Source organism: Homo sapiens, chromosome 11 (genome assembly GCF_000001405.40).
Source record: "Homo sapiens chromosome 11, GRCh38.p14 Primary Assembly".
Classification (NCBI taxonomy): Eukaryota; Metazoa; Chordata; class Mammalia; order Primates; family Hominidae; genus Homo; species Homo sapiens.
Genome location: NC_000011.10, coordinates 80428661 through 80454850, shown reverse-complemented (window position 1 = coordinate 80454850; position 26190 = coordinate 80428661).

The window sequence follows — 26190 nt, the reverse complement described above, 5'->3', positions numbered from 1 at the left end:
AAATAAGCCAATGCCTGATGTCTTAGAAAATCCTTAGCCTATTCAGACAGCATGCTCAAGGCTGTGACTAGACAAACCTTTGCTGACAAAATTAGGTGTGACTTACGGAATAAATCAAGCATCTTGGCAGAGGCCAGGAATAGAGAAGGGGTTATCTAGGAAAGACCTGTGGAGAGCCCTCATGTCTCATGACATGGATGCCCCTTGACATCCACAGAGAACTAACAGGGCTTTTGAAAATGAATGATGTATATAAAGGAACACAGCCAGCCTCACTGGAGGGGACAGAGGAGATAGAATGAAAGAAGGCTATTGGACTTCCAAAATTCTACAATTAGGAGATGGACAAAGAAGATAGGGCTACCCAGAGAGGGCTCAGAGGATAGGGCACCCAGCAATAGAGGATTATTTGCACATTTTAAAATCTGATAGGATTTACTGGGTTTTGAATTAACTTTAGTCCAGTGACTCTTTTATTCCTTCAATTTCTTTTATCCTCATTTGGAGTGAAAATGTCTATCTTACACCTGCCCCAGCATTGTATTTGGAAGAAGATAGCTTGTTTCTTAGTATTATAGATCCAGAAATGGAAAATAATTTTGCCCTAGAATGAATAATGCCCAGAGTCTTACCCAAAACTGACTGAGATGATGTAAGTAGTGAGATTTGGAATTTTTCAAGTTGTGATATTTAGGTAAGATTTGGCTTAAAAGTTCATGTTGGAATGAGTTAAGACTTTTGAAGATGTTGGGCTGGGGGAAATTTATTTTGTACGTAGGAAAGATGTGACTTTTTGGAAGTCAGAGAGAAAGTTTTACTGGGTTGAATTGTGTCTCCCAGAAAGATATGTTCAAGTCCTATCCCTTTGTACCCATGAATATAACCTTATGTGAAAAAAAGATCTTTGCAGGTTCAGTCAAGTTAAGATGAGATACTGTAGATTAGGGTATCCCCTAAATCCAATGACTCTTTTCCTCATAAGTCACAGAGACACACAGGGAAGACAGTAATGTGATGACAGAGACAGGATTGAAAGAGCATGTGAAGGAATGCCAGCTACCAAAAGAAGCTAGGAAGAGGCAAGGAAAGGCACCTCCCTGGAGTCTTCAGAGGAAGCATGGCTTTTATGACACCTTTATTTTTACTTATATCTTCCAGAACTATGAAATAATACATTTTTATTGTTTTAAACCATCCAGTTTGTGCTAATTTGTTATGGCAGCCACAACAGTGTTCACGATCACTTGAAAGTCTGTTAGAATGAGAAGTGACATCCATGAGCACATCTGAATTGGGCATCTACACCAGTTTCTCTTAAGAGAGAAAAACCAAACAACTGGTATAACATTGTCCATTAGGAATATAGGCTTTGATGTCAAACAGACGAAGATTGCTAATTCTACCTCTAATGTGTTGAGTGACATTACGAAAACTTTTATTTTTCTCTTCCCTCATCTATATAATGGTACTAAAAAGGGTCTTTTCTTTTTAGACATAAAGAGATTAAGTACTATAAGATTCCTATGAGAAACCTAAGAGATTAAGTCCTTTGGGATAACACAACTGGTAGGATACAGAATCAAGTGTTGAGACTTCGTCTTTATGACTCTAAAGCTTGTAGCTCATTCTAAAGGAAATGCATAAATAATGAATACATGCTCAAAAGATCTGTGGAAACTCAAGGAAATAAAGTTTGTTCTGAGAGAAAAATTGGTGGAGCTTTTAAAAAATAAATAAACAAATAAATAATGGACTTAGAGTGGCTACTTACAGCCCAAGCAAAATTTTGATGGGTGAAATTTCAGGTGGCAGATACTAGATCAGGGACTCTGGAGGCCCATCAGAGCCAGCAGGAGCCAAAACTTTCAAAGATGTCAAGGCCCCTGAGCAGCTGGCTTGCTCAAAGGAACAGCAAATAGACCCATGGAATTAAATAAATGTGGTAGAGAATGAGACCAGAGAAGCAAGTCAAGCCAATTTTGCAGGATCTCATTACTTGCTGAGTTTCAAATTTATTCTTGTTAGTCAGGCATCATTTTTGGTTTCTAAGTGAGAAAGTAGCAAAACGCATTAATTTTGGAAATAATTTTGAATTATTGTTTGAACAATAATTCAAATTCAGTTAATTCAAAGTATAAACAGTTTATCATAGTCTCAGTAATATATGATATGTTTTGTGGACTGAATGTTTGTGACCACCCTTCCAAACTCATATGTTAAAATTCTAATCTCCAATGTGTTGGTATTAAGAAGTGAGGTCTTTGGTAGGAAATTAGGTCATGAAGTTGGAATACTTGGAATTAGTGCCCTTATAAGATGAGACATGAGGACTTGCACTCTTTCTCTCCTCCCACTCCTTTTCTCTCTCTATAATGACCACTTCCTCACCTCTCTCTCTCTCTTCTTTCTACCCTTATGAGAATATAACACATAGATGGCCAACCGCAAATGTGAATGAGGTGTCCACACCACACACCACATCTTCCAGCACGTTAATCTTAGACTTCCCAGTCTCCACAACTGTGAGACATAAATGTTTAAGTTGCCCAGCCTATGATAATTTGATATAGTAGACCAAACTGACTGAAGCAATACATAAGACATATATATCACAGGTAACGTATGCTGTATTGATACTTTATATTTAAATCTATAAAGATTTATACCAAAATTAGAACCATGATTATCTCTGGTAATAGATATATAGATAAAATACACTTTCACTTTTTAAAATCTTTTTCTTTATATGTTCTTTAACTTTTCAGTAATGACCTGCTCTTCATGTTGGTAACATGGCAAAAGTGAAGCTAGGGACAAACACCAGTGAGGAGAACCCTAGTAATAAACCAGGACGAAAACACGAATGCCCTTTACTTTGGCTGAGCAGGAGACAAGGATGAGATATATTTCCAAGGTAGAATTGATAGGATTTAGCAGTGAGTCACTGGGGAAAGATGTTAGAGAGGTAGAGCTAAAGACAACACAAAGATTCCTATTTGAGGTAACAGGAAGGGAAGAGGTCCTGCTAACTGAGGAAGCGGTCCCAGGAGAAACAGGTTTAAGCTGGGGTCAAGCGGGGTACAGATAATGAGCTAAGCATTAGACACACAGAACTTGAGGTGACAGCCAAGCCGCCATGATTTTGAGAAGTCACAGGGGCTATCCCAGAGGGCCAAAGTGTTGAGATAAAAAGGGGTAAAAGAAATGGTAAGATATTTCCAGAGAAGATTCAAAAAGCCAAATGATGATGAATATATTCATCTGGCTGGTAGTAAAATCTCAGAAACCTTGTGATGTAGATAGATTCACATGAATCGTTTTACTAAGAGATAAAAAGTGATGCACTCGCAGAAGAAGGATGTAATTCACAAATTATAGTTAATGTGCTGTAGGATTATTAGGTGCTCAGATGTAACTAAAAATGCAGTAAACTCAACCCCCTCATTATAAGGAGCTGACAAGCGACACAGAAAGTATGCTTGAAAAAATACATCCCTGCTGTTTGTCACGGTGTCGTCCCAGATGAGGTACATAAATAAACATGTCACTCACAGTGTTTCACTTCCTTCCACAAGACTGTCAGCAAAGTGGGGTAAGAGAACAAAATCATAGGCCTATTTATCAGAGTCAAACAAGTAATAGTAACAACAAATAAAGAACCCTCTTGGGCTCGATGTTCCACTGCTCTAGGTGAAGGGTAAAGGGCCCATGCAAGAGCTCAATGGCACATCTAGTACACTGCAATAAGGACTCTCCATCCTCATGGAATCACCTTCAGGGTCTAGTAACTGCATTGCTAATTTTGGCAGCATCCTGATCACAGCATTTTTTGAAATGCGTATTTCCAAATGGACATGTCAGCGTTGGAGACTATCTGGCATTTTTACTCTATTGAGTGACTTTATCTGCCAGAATAGTGGGCAGAGACCATGATGCAGATGAATGAGAGCTAGATCTAGTAATCTATGTGACTTTCTAGAAATTGCATACATTTTTGAGCCTCCACTTTATTTAATAGGGATTGTATAGTAATCCAAAGTTTGCTGAAAGAACTGCCTGGAATAATGTATTCAGTGAGTCTAGAATGTCCTAGTTAAAGGCAGTATATTAAAAAAAAATATTGTTTTTACTTCTGAAGGACAACTGAAATGACCAATAAGAGGCATTAAAACTAAAATATAGCATAAACTTGCAAGGAGAAAGATAACAGAACACAGGAAAAAGAAAAAAACAGGAAGCTGAGAATAGAAGCTGAGTAGTCATTGATTTAGCTGAGAAAAATGGGATCCAAAGCCATCAGTGAGGAAACTGAAAAGCAGGTTTGTGCCAGAGATCTCAAATCTCTCAAGAATTCTCAGCATGAGAGACCTCTGAAACTGGCGTGAGGTAGGTGAGGATGGGATTGGTGGAAAGTGTCTTTAAGAAAATCTAAGGCTAGATCTCCTTATCCTCTCCTCCAGCCCATGTGCCTGAGACTCACTGTATCTCTCTCTTCCTCCCCATCAAATCAGAAGTTTAGATGATTTCTTCAAATCAGGTGAAACAAAATATGTCTACACTTGGGGACACCCAGCACAACTGAGGGTGATGGTGTGTAGTAAAAATAATTAACTGAAAATTTGCATCATGAAATAGAGCTGAAACCCAGCTTTCCTTCCCTAACTGATTTTCAGAATTCAGACAGCCAGCTTATATGTCTAGGCACACTTTGGAATTTTTTTCTCAGGTGAAATGTACTAGGTAAAGAGAAACACCTAAAGATACTGACTTTCAGAATACTTCCCAAAGACTCAGCCAGATTACACTGCATGCATCTGATGATGAAAAATTTTATTTACACAGAACTGGCAATCATCTTAATGCTCTATGCTTATGCACAAACAGACAGCCGAGAGTCACCAAACATATGAAAACCTTTTTTTATATGAAAGACCAAAATGAACAAGAACATGCAAATTGAGGAACAGAGACTATGCAAGAAAATAAGAAATTCAGTATAAAGTATCAATATTTCTCATGTATGGAAGACACAACATACATTACTCTAATGTAGTAGCCACTAGCCGCAAATGACTATTTAAATATAAATTAAGTAAAATTAAATAAAATTAAACATTTTGTAGCAACGGCTACCTACTGAGTAGAACATATTGTAGAACATTTGCATTGCAGAAGAAAGTTCTGTGGGAAGTGCTGAAGAAAAGCAACAACTAGGAACAAACAAGAGCCTTCAGAAATCAAAAAACATAAACAGTTCAGTGGAAGGCAATTTCATAGAGAGGAGCAGAAAAATACAAACGAGAAAGGAAAAGATAAGCTTTGTCTAGGAGGTCCAAAACCAAATTAAAACTATGCCCAGAAATGGAATCAGAAAGAAAAGAAGTTATCTAAGATAATTCAAAGACGACATTCAAAATTGAAGGACATGCTTTTTCAGATTAAAATTCTGTTTCTGCAGCAGCATAGTGGATGAAATTGACCTATATCAATGTATACTGTTATAATATTTTATAATACTGAGAAAGAGAATTCTAAAATATTCCAAAAAGGAACAAAAAAAATAGGTAACATAAAGTTCAGAAATCCAAAGGGTTTTGCATGGATTTCTCAATAGCAACACTGGAACCAGAAGAGAATAAGACGGTGTTGTAACTACCTGTCGGGTTCTCCTTGCCTGTGGCCTAGACAGAGTCAATTTATCAAGACAGGGGAATTGCAGAAAAGAGTTTAATTCACACAAAGCTCTCTGTACGGGAGACCAGGAGTTTTACTATCACTCAAATCATTCTTCCCAAAAATTCAGGGATGGGAGTTTTTAAGAATAATTTGGTGCATAGGGGGTTGGAAACTGGAGAGTGCTGATGGGTTAAGTGGAAGATGAAATCATAGGGAGTCAAAGCTGTCTTCTTATGCTGAGTGAGCTCTTGGGTGGAGGCCACAAGACCATTGGAGCCAGTTTATGGATCTAGGTGATGTCAGCTGGTGCATCAGAATGCACGGTCTGCTTGAAATCTCTCAAGCACTGATCCCAGGTTTTACAATAGTAATGTTATCCTCAGGAGCAATTTGAGAAGATTCAGAATCTTGCAGCCTCCAGCTGCATGACTCTTAAACAAATTTTCTAATCTTGTGGCTAATTTGTTGGTCAGCAAAGGCAGTCTAGTCTCTAGGCAGGAAGGGGGTTTGTTTTGGGAAAGGGCTGTTATTGTCTTTGTTTCAAAGTCAAAATATAAGCTAAGTTTTTCCCAAAGTTAGTTTGGCCTGCACCAAGGAATGAACAAGGACAGTTTGGAAGTTAGAAGCAAGATGGACTCAGTCAGATCTCTTCACCATCATAATTTTGTTATAATTTTTGCAAAGGTGGTTTTGATATCTTCAAAATTCTGAAGGAAAATGATTACTAACTTAGAATTCTATACACAGTCAAATGTACCTGGCAATGTGGGTAAAATAAGGATATTTTAATATTTCTTACACACTAGTAGTCAAAACCCTTTAAACACCCATTTTCAGGAAACTCCTAAAGGAGGTATTCCACCAAAACAAGGAGTAACTCAAGAAAGAGGAGATGGGATTCTGAAATTCCATGACCCAATTCAAAGGAAGGAAAGGAAAAGGATAGGGAGAAGGGGAATGGGAAAGGAGGGAGATTCTAGTAAAAAAATGATGACACATTACAGAATGACAGCTGTCCAGTAAATATAGGAACAACAAGTATGTTTGGAGCAGGTGCAAGGTCTTTTGGAGAGATGTTCTCAAAACACTGAAACAGATGTATGTTGAGACAAACTGTAATCAACTAGGCAAGAATTTGAAACTGAATTTTAAAAGAAGTTCTTAGAAAACTAAATAACTAGAAAGACATTAACTATATTAACTTCAGGCAAAAACAATTTGGTAAAAACAGAAATAAAGTAATTATAATAGAATTCATGGCAAAGCAGTAAACAGATTTCAGACAGCCAAAATAATGTAAACTCTGAATACTGAATTAATAATACTTAAAATAAAATTATACTGGGAGGATGGGGCAATGGAAATTGTGTGTTTCTATATTTAGAGGTAGAAAGAATATATGTAAAAACTATAGCCCAATCTTCAATAGTTGGAATTAAATATATAATGCCAGAAACTAACAGTCAATAAATAGCAGGATACTAATCTAATTTGGAGATGTGGAGGTAAAAGTGTAGTGTGTTTGCCTGGGTGGAATATGAATTGTGAGGAAGGGGAATTCAGAGTACCGCCATTTGCCATAATAAGTCTTATAAAGCAGTTTGACTTTTTAATTATGTGCGTGTATTACTTTGATGAAAAATTTAAAACATTAATAAAAGAGTTTAGCATGTTACATGGCATATATCAACTCTCAATAAGTGTTAGCTGAATCTGATTCAGGGAACTAACCAACTTTATGATTACTATGATTAAACCTTCTCTCCTGTCAGACTACTCTCAAATACACACAGCTAGAAGGGTTTATGAAAATTTAGTATGTTCATGCTAATTTTTTCTATAGGCTTGAGATTGCATGCTAGTTTTATTCAGAGTCTGTAGCTCTATAGACGTATTTTCCTTTTTTTAAAATTTTCTATTATCTCTCTCATCCTCTACTTTCTCTTTGGCCTGTTTTAAGTGTTTTGTTTTTGGCTTGTTTTTAATAAGCAACTATTGTTTAAAAAACCAAGACTTTTGTTTTTGCATCTCCTGAAAATTAGAAGATGTGGCATCTTGGGACCACATTCTCCAACGGCAACAATCAACTGGAGTTGGGTGGTTGATTCCCCTTTAAATGGGTTACATGCTCTCCATTGTGCCACAGTCTTAAAACTTTCTTTTATCTTTTCCTGAATGCTGCTTCATGCAACTGTGTTACTCACCTAACTCAGGAGACCTTCGCATTCACAGCTTTCACCTAAAAAAATGAGGAGCCATTCTCACTCTGGTGATACTATTAGTTAACTTTCAGGTGCATGTTTGCATTCTAGTGCAAATATGCTGACAGTTGGATATAATTGGAATTTTCAGAAGAGACTGTGGCTGGAGATACAAATGGTGGAACCCATCATCACAGGACAGTGTGATGTGCCTCCTAAAGACTTGGTGAGATTTCCTAGGAGCAAGCATGTGGAGCAGTGGAGAGCAGGGGCAGAGGCAGTGAGAGTGAGGGACTGTGATCTTTCAGGACCAGGAGGGTGGTTCTTCTCTATTCCTGTCAAAGGTGTAGGGAGTGGTAGTGATAACAAGAACACAAGATCTCTTTGGAATTATTTTCAATCCCTCCAAAGGCAATGTGAAGGTGAGGGAGGAGTATGATTTCAGGCTCTTTCAGCTTAGATTTATAGAGGACCTACTAGGTGGTAGCTCATAATGTATGTGGGTGACATGTTCATAAACAATTACAACACACTAGAGATATGGTTAAAAAATGCTAAGAAAGCACAGAGCACCAGCAGGGCTGTGATTTGGCAAGAATAAACAAAAAGACTGTGGGATTGATGGTGAAGAATATTTTGGTGATGAGGGTTTATCAGGTGGACTAAGGGGAGATATCACACTAAAAGTAAATTTTAGAGATTTAATTCACTCGTCCATTGATTCAATCATTTATTCACTTATTATTCTACTCAACAATTCCATGAATATTTATACAGGATATATAGAGCTGAAATACAAAAGACCCTATCCTCAAAAACTTGTAGTATGGAGTAAGAGATAGATAAAATATTAACAATTAAAGCCAATAGATGATAGAATAGCAGTAATTAAAAAGTAACAAGGATGCCTGACTCTTGATTGTAAAATTCCAGAGAAGTCATGATTTCTCTGAGAATGCTTAACACTATGACTGAGCTTTTAAGGCTATTTACAATGAAGGATAAGGAAGAGGAGAAATCTAATGGGCTAAAAATACAATGGTCTGAGAAACTTAAGGAAGAAAATAAATTCAAGTATACTGAGATCTACTGAATCAAAGAGAGATTGGTTCTTAATAAAAACACATGAAAAAGTGCTCACTATCACTGGCCATCAGAGAAATGCAAATCAAAACCACAATGAGATACCATCTCACACCAGTTAGAATGGCAATCATTAAAAAGTCAGGAAACAACAGGTGCTGGAGAGGATGTGGAGAAATAGGAACACTTTTACACTGCTGGTGGGACTGTAAACTAGTTCAACCATTATGGAAGTCAGTGTGGTGATTCCTCAGGGATCTAGAACTAGAAATATCATTTGATCCAGCCATCCCATTACTGGGTATATACCCAAAGGACTATAAATCATGCTGCTATAAAGACACATGCACACGTGTGTTTACTGTGGCACTATTCACAATAGCAGAGACTTGGAACCAACCCAAATGTCCAACAATGCTAGACTGGATTAAGAAAATGTGGCACATATACACCATGGAATACTATGCAGCCATAAAAAATGATGAATTCATGTGCTTTGTAGGGACATGGATGAAACTGGAAATCATCATTCTCAGTAAACTATCGCAAGGACGAAAAACCAAACACCACATGTTCTCACTCGTAGGTGGGAATTGAACAATGAGAACACATGGACAAAGGAAGGGGAACATCACACTCTGGGGCCTGTTGTGGGGTGGGGGGAGGGGGGAGGGATAGCATTAGGAGATATACCTAATGCTAAATGACGAGTTAATGGGTGCAGCGCACCAGCATGGCACATGTATATCTATGTAACTAACCTGCACATTGTGCCCATGTACCCTAAAACTTAAAGTATAATAATAATAAAATAAAATAAAAGAAAACAAGTTTCTGATAAGTAAAAAAAAAACTTTTAAAAATATATCATTTTTAGCAATGTTGATGAAAAAGGTAAGATTGAGTAGACTTTATTTTACAAGTTTTATAAGTTTTAGATTGATTGGCAGAAAAGTAAAACAAACGAGGCTGGTCTAGATCAACATTTCCTAGAATACATATAGGTATGAGACATATATGATCATATTTCTGGGATCCTAAGGGTCTGTCAACTTTGAGACACCTCAAAAATATTTTTGGGGGAGAAGTGAAGGTAAGGCATTACCAATTTTAAGGTGCAACTGAACTTTAGAAATATTAAAAACATGAAAATTGTCCAAACCCAATGAACAAAGACAGAAAACTTCATCTCTTATCTTCTATTCTCTACCTAAGCTCCCAAGCAAGGCAACTGGAAGGCCAACCTTCTCCATCATGGGCTTCCTCCTCAGTTTTACTAGTAGGAAGTTTTACTAGTTTTACTAGTTGTATAAACTTTTGAGTTTAGGATTTTGGAAGTTCAGGGTGGAGCTCTAAGAAGTCCTCTATGTAATCCCAGCACTTTGGGAGGCCTACGTCAGTGGATCATGAGGTCAGGAGATCGAGACCATTCCGGCTAACACGGTGAAACCCCGTCTCTACTAAAAATCCAAAAAATTAGCTGGGCGTGGTGGCACACACCTGTAGTCCCAGCTACTCAGGAGGCTGAGGCAGGATAATTGCTTGAACCCGGGAGGCAGAGGTTGCAGTGAGCCGAGATCACACCACTGCACTCCAGCCTGGGCAACAGAGCAAGATTCTGTCTCAAAAAAAAAAAAAAAAAAAAAAAAAAGCTTCTCAGAACTTTTACAGAGTATTAGATACCTAGGTAAGTGGAGAAGGTAGAAAGTAAATGTGCTCACTTTCAACTGAAAATGTTCCCCTTCCTTCCCCACTTTTGACATGTTGATGACTCAGTTGATAGAATAGAATATATAGAGAAGAATTGATGGAGAACTTTGTGTAAAATAACTGTAAATGTTTCCCTTTCTGAGTCAGATTTGGTTTGGCATATTTACTACATATCACAGCTGATTGATTACGTGCTCATTTTAACTTCTTGTGTCTTTTTTATTTTAAATTGCCCTAGGTTCTTTAAAAAAAAGGTCAAGACTACAAATGGAAATACATTTTGGGGGCTGTTATAATTCTTAATTTTATGATTCTATGTATCCACTACTAATCCATTCAGAGGCTTTTCAAGGATTAAAATGATCCCATCCTTTAGAAATATAAAGTGTCTTTTTAGTGATAACCCTCAGTGTTGAAGAAAAGAATAATCACATTTTTATTCAGGCTAAAACTTTGATGTTTTGCTTCAGCATTGCAACATAAACACCTCATGTTTCAGAGTCAGACTGGCTGTTTTACATCCAGGCATCATGAGATATGAAAAGAAGAAAGGATTTAGGGTTAGGAAGAACTTGTACCTAACTCTGACTCCCTCATTTAATAGGTGAAATCTAAGTCAAGTCACTTATTTTTTTCTGGCCCTGGTTTCCTCACCTGTAAGAGAAGAATGGTTCTTAGCTCCCAGGAATACTCTGAGGCTAATGTGTAGTAACGAATGCCAAGCCTACATCTCCAACCGCCTTTTCTGCCACTTGTTGACTTACACTTGACCCTTTATTATTAGCAAAAGGGTTACAAGTGATTTCATCACATTGCTTCATAATTGTATGCCTTTGCTTTAGCAGTTTCTCATATTTGGAGGCCATAATCATCCCACTTCCTTCCTTCTTTAACAGATTAATTCCCATACACCCTATTAGCCCTGACTTGCTCCCAAATCTTGCTCCTTTGTGTTCTCTCAGCACTTTGTTCTTACCTTAAAGTTACATATTTATAGTTTGATTTAGAGGTCATGAACCATATTTTTTTTTCTGTATCCTCAGTGTCTAACAAAGTGCCTGGCACATGGAAAACATGCAGTTGATGTTAGTGGTCCCATAATAAAATCCATTTCAATGAGTGACAGTTATAGGAACTCACTGTTGCTGATAGTGGTTTTTTTTTTCTACCTATCTACACACACACACACACACACACACACACACTGCATAGACCCAGCTTAATGCCTTTTCAATTAAAAAATACCCAGTTAATAGAAAGACACAACAATGACATATATCAGTGAATGTAGTATTAATTATTACCATGGTGCTCTTATTAGCTTCTTCAGAACAGGCCCCCTCATGAGTATTCAATTTAGATTTTAAAAGAGCAAGGAGGAAAGTTATTGCATGCTAATTAGCTTTAAATTCCTCTTTTACATGGTCAATTGGAGATAGCAGAATAATGCCAACTGAACAGAAGAGCTTTGGTGAGATGACAGAGGCTAGAATTTTTAGCATCCCTCCCTCTAGCCTTTCTGGCCCAGCAGATTCCTTTGCTATCACTCATTCTATAGCTTCAGTGTCACAGGGTCAAGCTGGCCTCAGTGTGAACAAGAAACAATCTCACTATGTCATTCATGAAGCTGACGTTCTGTGTGTGACAGGTGAGTTCTCCCTCAGTACCATAGTATGTTTCATATCAGTGGATGTGTTCCTTCTTTTTGTTCCTCTCTGTGTTTTCATAATGTCATGTACTTTTCTTATAAAAAATCTGTTTATGTTCTTTTCCTTCATGAAGACTGAGCATGCTGAGGGCAAAGATTGAGGTTTTAAAATTTCTTTATCCCTAGGGCTAATTTATAGCTCAATACATGATTATGACTTGAGTGAATGAAGTAATTAAACATGGGCTGAATAATCAAATGGCCAGGAACATGTGTGGGAAAGTAAAGTATCTGATACAGTGATGTTGGTTCTCAACTCTGTGCTTGATTTGTGGAACTGCCAGTCCTTGAACTCCAGAGATGCAAAGCAAAGTGTTCTTCCTGCAAAATTCATCTACCGCTCTGGATTAATTCTTTTACTTGTAATCCTTACATGTTTGCAACACCTGCTTACGTGGACTGAAAGAAACCAAAAGAAATCCCATGTTATTTTTCCCCCTAAAGCCGTGAATCTTGAATCATCTCATGACTCAGATATCCTTTTCCTGTCCAGGGTTGAAGACACTCTAGAGAGAAAGCATTTTCTGCTCTCAAATGAAACTTCAAGTCTTACCAATCAAAATGCCATAAGAAAGCAGAATAGAAAGAAAAAAATAGTTTTCCCATATCCCTTTTCACTTCTCCCATTGAAATTCCCATCTGAGATGAAATGCCTGGGTAGGATGCAAGGAGAGTGCCATAACATATGGGCCTAGGATCCTTTACTGCTGTGCTACCAGGCGGAGCCCTCAATGAGAGGACTAGAGAGAGTAGAGAAAGGATGGTGTTCATCACCATCCTATTACAAGGACTGCATGAGACACATCATCTTGGTTAACCCTTGGGACAACTCTTGAGGTAGGTATTATTATCATATACTAGTTTACAGATCGAGAAATTGAAGTTAAGTGATCTTCAGAAATTTGTTCAACGTGTTACAACTAGTAAATGGCGAAACCAAGCCTGGAATCCATTCATGGTTGGCTTATTCCGAGAGACATGTTATTAACCAGCACACCATATTGCTCCCAGGGCAGAGTAGATGATTTTATTAAAATACTAAATACTACATTAAGTGCAATGTTATTTTTATTCTAGCTACGTTAATGCTGAATTTGCTTTTAAAAGAACTGTGAACTCCAACCCCCAAGCCTAACATCTGCCAGAGCCTTATTTTTTCCTTTTATTCTTTTAAGAATTTTTCCAGTATCCTATCCATGTCTTTCAGAACATCTGTAGTTTTGGGGTGGGCAGAGTTATGAAGGCTGATTAGATATCAGAGTACCATCTGTGGGTCTCATGTCTGTTATTCCCTTCCTTGGCAGTCAAACAAAAACACAGAATAAAAGAAATAATGGAGAAGAGTCACCAGTATGTGCTTTGTGTTCACCGAAGAAGCAAGCAGACTTTGCATGTTCCATTATGTATTTATTCCTCTGTCCTGCAGTGAGTTGGCGAAAAAGCAGAGCAGTGTGTATGTGTGTTACTAAAAGTGATCAGTGGAAGGGAGACGGCACAGCTCTTCCTTCTGCATGGACAATTTATAATGACTTCGTGTGTGATAAAGAGCAGAGAGCCACAGAAGCTCTGGACCAAGTCCATAATCTCTCTGATGTGCTGAGCTCTAGAAATATTGAATAGTAGTAACAGGATTGAGGACCCCCACTACAGCGATATGTGCAGGTACCTGGCCAATGACACAGATTTACAAAAACAGAGGATGACTCCCTATTAGCTTTCCTGAAACCTAATATGTTTCCTTTTCAGGGTTATTTTAATGAGAAATCATGTTTTAAATAGTATGTACTATAACCAACTCCCTGGTAGATGAAGGATGAAGCAATTTTTCTTACTAGGGTGAATAATATGTCATTATCTGACCTCAACCAGTTCTTTCTCTTGCCGCTCCTCTTGTTCCTTGTGGGCTCTGTATTCCCACACTTCAGCCACTCTGAGCATCTCTTCCTTTCCTGTAGTGACCATTCTTATGATCTTTTACAGGCTGTTTCTTCTAATCATATCAGTTATTTTCCTTCTTTTCCTTTCTGCTCTGCCAAACTTTGTGACTGACTCCTCATCTCCCTAAGACGTGACTCCCCTCTGAAGTCTTTCTCAACTCCTCCAAAAGACATTCCCTCTTTTGCAGTCTCACTGTTCTCTGTTGGCATATGACATATAACCTACCAAAATATAAATAAGCCTAAGGCAGTGTTCTAGGGAGATGTAAAGAAGACCAATTTGGACCATGATCTTCAATCCATCTATTCTAGCCTCGCCAACCTCTCAGTGTCTTATATGCAGTCAGCTATTTTGCACTCAGGCCCTTGACCCTGCTATCCACCATCAGGAATGCTCTTCTAGCTCTGCAAATAGCTGACCTTTTCCCATTCTTGAGATCTCAGCTCACCTGGCATCTCTGTACAAAGGTCTTCTGTTACTACGCTATCTGAAGTTGCCCACCTCAGTTAGCTTCCATCTCAACCACCACTACATTTCCTTCATTGCACTCATCACAATCTATATGTCTCTTATTTATTGATTTGTTGATTCAAATCAACAAGTTGTATTGATTCATTGTATTTCTCCTCCCCTGGAACAAAGAGGCCTGAAGACAGAAACAATGTCTGTTTTGTTTACCTGTATATCCCTACTGCCTAGCAGCCATGCCTGGTAATTCAGAGATGCACAAATAAGAATTTACTTCTTAAAGAATAAACGATAAATACAAAGTTATTGAATAAACAAGCCAAAGGGAGAAGACACACTGGTGCCCATATGAGGCATACCTAGCCCATATGAGGCATACAATCTTGAAGATTTGGGGAAGGATACTTAGAAGAGACTTAGTTGTATAGGTAAATCCTATGTGAAGAAGATCGAATTTCAATTTGTGTTATATTATTCCTCACTTAAGGACCTGGTGAAAGCATTTCTTTTACTTTTTTCAGAAATAATGAAATAAATTATCCTCATACAGTCTTCTGTCCTCCTCCTCTTATTCTTGGTGAGGGCCAAGACCTCAGATTCTCTCTGCAAAGTGCATGTTCCTCCCTCACATTAGTCCTCGCTGGAGTGTTATATAGACTCCTATTGCTGTTTATGCAAAGTGTCTAATTATGTTTTCACTCAAAGATCTTTCAAGTGCCAAGCTCAGGAGTCTTTGCTCACCCACACTAGCACTTAAAGGTGTCGGATACCCCCTTAGCTTATTATTCCTGGGAATGGCAGTAGCTTCTGCAGCTCTGCCCCATTCCATATTCTGATTTGAGTGAATACTTTGCTCCACATCTCCGTGCCCAAAGTCATACCCCTAGAGAGGACAGATTCACCTGAATCCAAAACAGATGCTTTTTTTCCTTTGTATTATGTTACATACTGGGATTCTATATCGTATCACTCATCTTTTGTTGTTATTTTTTTTTTGGAGGGAAGAGAATATGTGAAATTATTACATAAAGTTCTTAGTGGGGGCCAGGATGTATATTAAGAATTTAATAGTTCGTTATCACATAGTCCTTTACCCCTGCCCCAGCCTTCCATTTAGTATCACTTTGCCCATTTCAGAGCTGACCAAAGTGAGTAGAAAACGTATATATCTAGCCAGAAGTCTCACAGCTATTAAGTGAGTGGTGATATAATTCCAGCCTATGTCTGAGACTCACAAAGCCCACCTTGTGTTTTAATCACTATACTGTTGTAACTAGCCCCAATTAAATAATACATTGAAAAGTTATCCTGCCAAATTCCCAGTGCCTGCTTTTCTCTTTGGATACTTGTCCAGTGTACTTTTTAAAAATAATTGTTACAACATCTTTACTGCTTGCTCTTCAGAAAGTTATGAAGGATGTATCATTCCCCCCAATATACTTATGATATAACTAATCTCATTCTATTCTGTAAACATTTATTGAGAACTGATTATGATGCAAGTAAATCGCTGAGCAGTGGAGATATTTAGATGAATGAGACGTGGTCCTTCCTCTGGAATAGCTCACATTCTACTGAGAGAGACAGTCGTTGAAACAGCTAATTACAATGATCCATGCAATAGTTGAAATAAAGACTCTTCAGTGTAGGAAAAGAGAAGAATTAGTTCTTCCAGGGGGAGCAGGAAAAACCTTCATTAGAGTAGATGATATCTGAAATAAGCATTGAGTTTACTAACTTTTCAGGTGCCTTGCATATATACTAAGTGGTTTTACAGCAGCAAGGTGTGGCCGTCTGAAGTGTCAGCAGTGATTATGAAACATCACTGCCCCTGTGGTGGGCAGATTGTGTGTGTGTGAGGAAATAGAGGGGATGTGGTGAATACGACTGAAAACACGGGCAGTTCCAGGGTGCATCCTGCACTAACAAAATACAAAGTTTGGACTTCATCTTGAAGGCAATAGGGAGCTTTTGGAGGTTTATAAAGCAAAGGGAACCATTGAAAAAATATATAATGTAAGATGTGAGAAACTCCTTTTCCAACACAGGAACGTAGGATCATAAGCTACAGGAAGCTAGGAAAACATGCCCCCACTCCCCACATCACACCTCATCCAGGCTTTTTCCATCTGTGTTTCCACCGTGGATCTCTCCTGTTAGATTTGCACTGTACAAAAGATGCCAACATTTTCAGCAGAGCAGGGAAGCCTTCTAGCATCCATAAAAGTTTGGGTCTTGCTGTTTCCTGGCCTTTGCTCCAATCTAGACTATCATACTTGCTAAGGGATAAGCTGAAAGAAAGGCAGGGTGATATCAATTTTAAGAACATAGGTGGCTGGGTGTGGTCACTCACGCCTGTAATCCCACCACTTTGGGAGGCCAAGGGTGGGTGGATCACAAGGTCAGGAGATCGAGACCATCCTGGCTAACATGGTGAAACCCCGTCTCTACTAAATATACAAAAAATTAGCCAGGTATGGTGGCAGGTGCCTGTAATCCCAGCTACTCAGGAGGCTGAGGAAGGAGAATGGCGTGAACCCAGGAGGCAGAGCTTGCAGTGAGCTGAGATCGCGCCACTGCACTCCAGCCTGGGCAACAGAGCGAGACTCGGTCTCAAAAAAAAAAAAAAAGAAAACCTAGAAAAAAAAAAGAACAACAACAAAACAAAAACAAAAAAAAATGGAACATAGGTTTTGGAGATTAGCTGCCTGGGTTCACATCATGGCTATGTCACTACTTAGCTGTATGAACTTGGGAATGTTCTGTGAGCTCTCTGCCCTGTTTTTCCCATCTGTAAAATAGGGATCATTGTATAATCTACCTTGTGATGTTGAAGTGAGAATACAATGAGTTACTACATGAAAACTACTTTGAACAGTGGCCTGGCAAGTAATAAGTGCTCCATGAGTATTATTATTCTAGCAACCTGAGTTGGTTATGAATGACAAAATACCAAGCTACTGCAGTCCTTACTGGGAAGATCTGTGAAGACAGAATTGTTGACTATGAAATATACTTCTTAGACCAGTGCCTAAGATTAGTGGCACTTAGTGAGCACTTACTATGCAGGGTGTATTTACATGCATTATATCATTTAACCTCACAACCACACTGTGATTGATGTATATGTATTTGTTTCTATGCTACATCATCTTTGTTTTCTTTAAAAGGAAGAATTTAAGCCACTTACACAAAAGCACACACATAGGAAATGTTAGGACAAGGACTCTAAACAGGTTAGTCTAACTGCAAATTCATTATTTTCTTTACCACACTACCCTACCTGTCAAGTTAGAGAGGTCAAACTAATTTAATTGTTTAATCTTCTATGATGAGAGCTGGCACATATGTACACAGAAAAACTGCTTTGTATTGTTGCTATGATTTGTGCTCCGTATGTTTATATAACAGATGTTTATCTAAATTCTTTCACACTTCCTGTCCAATTTGCTTCCCAAGCAGCATATTTATTATTATTACCTTTTTATATGTGGTGAAATGAAGGAATCAAGATTTAGCCCTTTTCCTTGCCTTGAGTTGCTCTCAGTTGAGCCTTCTTGGGCACCTGTTAGAACTTTCACAGTCTTTTTGATGATGAGCTTATCATGGCTTTATCATTATTATAGACTCTTTGCTTCCTTGGTATTCCATGACAACCTCCTGCATTTACACACCGTTGTTTGCCAGGTGTCCTTGACCTCATAATGGAAAGGTCTGAATATCAGGGTGCACCCAAATAGAGCAAGTAAATGTGATATGAAAGTAATTAAAACATTCTTTGGATCTAACTCTTCAAGAGCTGTCATGAGGATCAGTAGGTACAAGGCTGCTATTTTTAGATCTTAACCTCATTGTGCATGTTTGAGATGGGACCTAATAAACTAGATGGACTGAATAGTACAGAAGATTCCACTTTCACCTGACATGTAATTATCAGACATTTCAACTCTATAGTGTCAAGGTCTACATCGTTGAACTGGGGGTAAGGGGTGAGCACCTAGCAATGCCGTCTAACCATCTTAATGCCATTTTATCTACTAGTCAATGTCATATAATTCAATTTTCTAGAATATTATAGAATTCCTCTTTTATGGCATGCATTAAGGAGAGTAAAAAGCAAACCATCTGGGCTATAGAACAAAACATTGATTAGATTAAAAACCATACAGAAAAATGTATGACTCTCTTTCACCTCTCATATCACCACACCTATTTTATATGGATAAAATCAACATAACATGCAGTCATTGAACATGTGCATGGTTTTTCTTGGGTGTCTACCAAACTGGATGTTTTCTGTCAGAAATACAAACACATTTTTCATATTTCACCAAGATATTGTCATCTAATGTGTAAGTATCTAGCTTATGTTATGTAAACATAGTGAGAAATACCTCTTGGCTTTTACTTTATTTAAGATAAAAAACAATTTTAATAAAAATGTTTTTTAAATATTTAATTTATTTTCCAATGAAATTTTCAAAAAGGTTTATAAGCAAGGGCATATTTTAGTTGTGCTGACTAAGCAATGTATTCACCCATTTATTCACTCACCTAATGTGTAAATGTTCAATTATTAACTTCTATATAGTGCCTAATTTATGTCACAAATTGTTTTTCTTTTAATTTTTCAAAAAAAGGTTGGGTAGATATTATGCCCCATTTACAACTGAGTAAACTGATTTTCAGTGAAGTTTAGTTTCTCTAACATATAATTGAAAGTCACTAGTATCCAATAGATGCTGGCAGGATTTTAAAAAATCATTTTCATTCTGAGGAGCCGGGAAATTTGGTAACAGCAATTTGGACAAATAGAAAAAGAAAAAAAAATAGCCTGAGATGTAGCTCCTAACATGGATTTTATTGTGGCATAAAGAAAGGCAGTGACATTTCTAAATAATAAAATAGCTGAAGGACAGAAAAAAAATTTGAGATTTAAAGAGATAGCTTTTCCTAACCCCTATGTATTTTTAAAAGTTTTCATTTGAGCTATTTATTCATTCAGATAATATTTTTGAGAGTCTACCATATGCCAAACAATTTCCAGAAGATATGTGGAATACATCAGACACAAGTTAGAGTGAAAACACACATACAAGCACACACACACACACACACACACACACACACACACACAGCTTCCTGTCCTTTTGGAGGTAACATTGTAGCAGGGAGACACAGACAATAAATGTAATAAATATGGTAATTATCTAGTATAATAGAATATTATAAGTAGCATGGGGAAAAAGAAAAAACAAGAGAGAGAGCAGGGTATGGGCAATGAACTTGCCTGACACAGGACTGGGGAGGGCTGGGTAGTCATTGTGAGTAGGATGAGTGAGTAGACCCTACTGAGAACTCAAAACTTGAGCATAAACTTTCAGGAGAAAATGGTAGCATGGAGGATATTGTGGGAACAGCATTCCAGGCAGAGAGAACATCCAACACAAAATCTCCAAGTTGAACTCATGCCCAATATCTTCTAGTAAGCAAGGAGAACCCAGGAAATTAAAGGAAGCATAGTAAACATGAAGTCAGAGAGAGAAATGCGGGCAAATCGAGAAGAAACTTACAGGCCAAGGGAAGGAATCTGTCTTATACTTTGGAAATAGGGAGCCACTAAAGAGGTGTGGCAAGATCTGAATTATGTTTTAAAAGGCTGCTAATTGTGTTTTGACTTTTATTTTAGGTTCAGGGTTACGTATGCAGGTTTGTTATAAAAGTAAGTTGCATGCCACACCGGTTTGGTGTACAGACTATTTCATCACCCAGATAATAAGCATGGTACCCAATAGGTAGTTTTAAGATCCTCACATTTCTCCCATCCCCCACCCACAAGTAGGCCTTAGTGTCTATTGTTTCCTTCTTTGTGGTTATGTGTAATCAATGTTTAGCTCCCACTTACAAGGCAGAATGTGTGGTACTTGGTTTTCTCATCCTGCATTAGTTTGCTTGGGATAATGGCCTCCAACACCATCCATATTGCTGCAAAGGACATGATCTCATTCTTCTTTACGTCTGTGTAGTGTATATATCTGCCACATTTTCTTTATCCAGTCCACCATTGATGGGTATTTTTGTTGATTCTATGACTTTGCTATTGTGAATAGTGCTGCAGTGAACATATATATGCATGTGTCTTTATGGTAGAATGATTTATATTCCTTTGGGTGTATAACCAATAATGGGATTGCTGGGTCAAATGGTAGTTCTGTTTTAAATTTTTTGAAAAATCACCAAACTGCTTTCGACAATGGCTGAACTAATTTACATTCCCACCAACAGTGTATAAGAATTCCCTTTCCTCAGCTACCTCACCAGCGTTTGTTATTCCGGCTACTAACTTAATAATGAGCTGCAAGGGTCAAGGATGAAATCAGGGAGAACACTGAGGGGCTATTGTAGTAGTCCAGGCAAAAAGTGGCAGTGAGTCTAGTGGAAACAAGAAAAATGGTCAGGTTCTGGATGTATTTTGGAGATAGAGTCTACTGCGTTTCATGACGGGTTGGAAATAGAGTAAGATTGAAACCAAAGGACAAGGATAAGTCTAATTTTTTGTCCTGAGAAACTTCCCAATGAAGAGCAGCAGTTCAGTTTGCAGCATGTTAGCTTTGAGATCAAATACCCAACCTGTTTAATAAGTGGTTTATATATGAGTTTGGAGTTCAGCAGAGGGCGATGGGCAGAAATTACAAATTGGAGGGTCATGGCCACATACATGGGCTTTAAATCCATGAACCTAGAGAAGTCTCCCAAGAAAGTAAAGGCAGGTAGAGAAGGAGGAAGACAAAGGATTCAGCCCCAGGGGTCTCCAGAATTATAAGGTCAGGGAGAAATGCACTATTTAGTAATGGGAACTGAGGAAGAGCAAAAATAAGTAGAGAGGAAAACAAAGAATGCATTGACTTATTATGTAGGAGGCAGGGATTCACTGTTTAAATGTTGCTGATAGCTCATGGAAGATAACAGTACTGAGAACTGCCCATTGGATCTGGCAACAAGGGTGTCATACATGACCTTCATTTAAGCAGCTCTGAGAACACAGTGAGACTAGAAGTCCATGTAGAGTAGTTTAAAAATGAGGAAAAATTCCAGAGAAATACAGATAATTGTGGTTTTTTTTTTTTTTTTTTTTTTTTTTTTTTTTTTTTAGACAGAGTTTCACTCTTGTCGCCCAGGCTGTAGTGCAATGGCGTGATCTCAGCTCACTGCAACCTCTGTCTTCCGGATTCAAGCTATTCTCCTGTCTCAGCCTCCCAAATAGCTGGGATTACAGGCATCCACCACTGCGCCCAGCTAATTTTTGTATTTTTAGTATAGACGGGGTTTCACCACGTCAGCTAGGCTGGTCTCGAACTCCTGACCTCAGGTGATCCACCTGCCTTGGCCTCCCAAAGTGCTGGGATTATGGGTATGAGCCACCATGCCAGGCCCAGATAATTCTTTAAAAGAATTTGAATGCAAAGGCAGCTAAGAACTAGAGTGCTAGCTGTAAGATGAAGTTAAGTTCCAAAGAGTTTTTGTTTTATTATGAAAGAAATAGAAATAAGAAATTATGCCAATGAGAGGAGTTTAATATAAAAGAAGAAAAATTGATGATGTAGGAGGGAGAAGAATTGCTAGGTTAGTCAGAAAGTAAATGGACTGCAGATGTGTAAATATGTCTGACAATAATAAGGTCTAACCTGGAGTCCACACTCATGATTTAGAGGGAGACTAATCAGTCGAATTGTATATTGTTTTTTTTTTCTCTATCCACAGTCAGCTGCTGCACACATGAATGGAGCAGGTCCAGAATTGGATTAAACAAGAGTTTTGACATGTGAATTATGCAAACAATGAGAAGGGTCAGGAAGTTAAGCTGGCATGCAAAGAAGTGATTAATATGTTTGCTGTGGAATTTAAGCTATATAAAAAGGGAACACAGGACTTCAAATGGGTGAGGAACAGAAATGAAGCTCTTAGATAAAGGAATAGGAAGACTTGGTGAGGTCAAAGGATTTTTCGTATTGGGAGTGCTGGAGGGAGTGAACTGGAAAGTTAAGATATTGTGGTCAGAGAGATGGTGCATGAATTTGAGGTCGTAGAAATATTGCAGTTACAAAATATAATATCTTTGGAGATCTAGATAGAAAGTGGTTAAGGTAGAGTGGAAGACAAAATCATTTGGAGAGAGGATTGAGGTCACAGAGATGATAGGTCAGAGTGTTTGGAAGATTATCTACATATAGATTCTACATATGTGTTTTACATATGTATGTGCATATATATGCATTTTCATATCTGCATGTATGTGAATATATGTGTGTATAACACAAGTGCTAAGACAGAGTAATATTGCAGAAAATGGACAATAAACTAGGAATGACGGGTGGTGAAATCTAAAGGTAGGAATTTTCAGGGAGTGGGGTAGTAAAGTACCCATAAATATGTGTTAGGTTGATGCAAAAGTTAATTGCGGTTTTTGCCATTCAAAGCGGTGGCAAAGACCACAATTACTTTTTCACCAACCTAATAGCAACCAGCTCTCTCTGGAGAACAAAACAGCTCTGATTTTTTGTCTGCCAATTTCCATGATGTAAATGACACCCTGGTGCCTCCAAGGTAGTAATAGAATATCGTTAAAGACAGAGCTGGGAAGAGATAGGCACAATCAGCTCTCATGTGTAGGTTCAAGCCAGCCCTGGCATACCATTGAAGTAGGGTGTGAGAATAGTCTACAAGTGGCCATGGGGAGTAAGAAGACAAAACCCAGCTCTCATCCTAGTGGTACAGACTTAGAGGAGAATAAAAAGATCTTCACTTGAGAGGGGCTGAATGGGAAGCAGAGTCCTTGAAGGAATGGGAACAGTTTTTGGTAAGAGCAAAAAAAGTGAAGGGTACATTTAGAGGATATAGGCAATTTTGAAGATGATCAATCCTGAATTCCAGAGGGTTTAGTGGAGGGATTTAAAGATAGGACTAAGAGATTCTGCTATATGGAGATAAAAGTTTGGGAGACGAAAGGTGACCGATGCTGGGGCTTCTTGCAGCTGAGGATGAAAACAGCAATGGAAAGCCTCATTACGATGAGTTCTGGTGGTCTCAAACCTGCAGTGACAGAGAGGCTGGGTTAGTGAGCTTGGGCTCTGAGGTGTGTGAATGGGTTCTCCCTTGACCCCTGTCAGGGATAAATGTGCTCACTCCCATTGTATGGGGGCCCTCTCACTCCCATTGATGGAGTTGACATATCTGGGGAGGTCAGAGTTACTCAGATTGAGTGGGTACTCCTGGCCCATACATCACTTCATCCTCTGGAGACCCTTCCTTATCTCATTCAGTTGGATTATTTCCTTGTCATGTGTGCTCCTCAACCTTCAGCATTGCTCTCAAATTGCCTCATAATAATTTTTTTTAAAAAATTCACCTCACAGTTGTTCCAACATGATTAAAGTCCTCAAACGTAAGAATTTTCCCTTTACCCGTCTCTGTTTTGATAGGTCTATGCCATTCCTTAACACAATCCTAGGAAACAGCAGTCTTCAATAATGTCTACATAGGTCAAACATTGCCATAAGACTTATCATCTATTGAGAGTTTATTACGTACTGAGTAGTAAGCTAAGTGCTTTATAAACATTATCTGTAATCCTCAAAACAACCCGATTTTTTATGCCCCATTTACAGAGAAGAAAGTCAAAGTTCAGCGCATTGTCTTGCTCAGTCTCAAAAACCTAACAAACACAAGCACCAAGGTACTTCTGATTCCAAAGATCATTCATTCAGCTGTTTTATAAGCTCAATTTCTGAGTAAGACAACTGTGTCCATAAGCAAATCAAAAATAAGAGCTTTAGCACTTCTCAAATTTATGAGTTTGATAGCTCTGACCATACTCTGAGATTCTCAAGCAGGATCGAGTTTAGTATTTGTTATCCTAAAGGCGCCTGAACCAACAGGGTTGGATGGAACCAGGAATAGTCAGACTGATAGGGTCTGCCAGCTGGTTGCCACATATCTCGTTGAAAAACAATCTGATAAATCAGCCTAAAGATAAGCCACATGTTACCCTAAATCTGGGACAGTAACACACACTTAGCAGTCAGAAAGAATAAGATGTCAGTACCCAAATGCTAATGCATTGGTGCAAAATGTTTATCGTAGACTTTTTTTAAAGTCCGGAATGAAAAATCGAATCAAACTAATTAAAAAATAAAATTGAGTACCTGCTATGTGATGTGCTAGATATTAAAAAACTATGAAAAAGCTGTGGTCTCTGTCCTCATAAAGGTCAGAGCTTAGTAGAAAAGATAAACATGAAGTAACTATATTGTGATGTATGAATTCTTTTAATTGACAGAAACATCAGCATACATACTGACAACATGCATTGGTAGCTACCGATGGTGCCTGTTTCAGAAAAAGATGAAAGATGAGCTTCCAAGTGGAAAGAGTAGGAGGAATCTTCCTGGTAAAAGACAAAGCATTGAACAAAGGCAGCTAGCATGAAGGATAAGGTGTCCAGGGGTTGGTGATTCTTTATTGTGACTAGAACACTGGCTATAAGAATTGTAAATAATACACCTAGAAAGTTATGCTGGGCCTTGCATGCTATGCTGAGGGTTTGGACATCAAAGCTAATTTAAATCTTAAACTCTATATCAACTGTTTACTTATTGAACTTCTGAGAGGGCTGAGCATCGCTGAGAAATGAGGAAGAATTCAGCCCGGTAGGAAATGATGTATCTGTACCTGCAATGAGCTGAGGTGCAGTTTAGCGGGGACCAAATAGTAAACGTAAAACACTTAGAGAAAAAGTTAATTGCTGCAAAGTGTGTATTGTGCAGTAGGAATTCCAAAAAGGGCAATATCATCGTGACTTCAAGTCATCAAGGAAGGGCTCAAAAAGAACAGGATTTTTGAGCTAACCCCGAAAAGATAAATAGAATTTGAATAACCATATTCATGAATAATGTTTGCTTAATGTCTCTAATTTATAACCCAGGTGTTTCCAGTTTCACTTTCTTGTCATTACAACTTTGTGATAGACATAAAATAAAGATCAATACCACCACTTTGCATGCACAGAAGCTCATAGGCACTAAAGTGACTGTCATGACACTGCTAGGGTGCAATAGAGATGAATTCTTAGGACAGGTAAGGCTAATTCTCTCTTTTTTTTTTATTATACTTTTAGATTTTAGGGTACATGTGCACATTGTGCAGGTTAGTTACATATGTATACATGTGCCATGCTGGTGCGCTGCACCCACTAACTCGTCATCTAGCATTAGGTATATCTCCCGATGCTATCCCTCCCCCCTCCCACCACCCCACAACAGTCCCCAGAGTGTGATATTCCCCTTCCTGTGTCCATGTGATCTCATTGTTCAGTTCCCACCTATGAGTGAGAATATGCGGTGTTTGGTT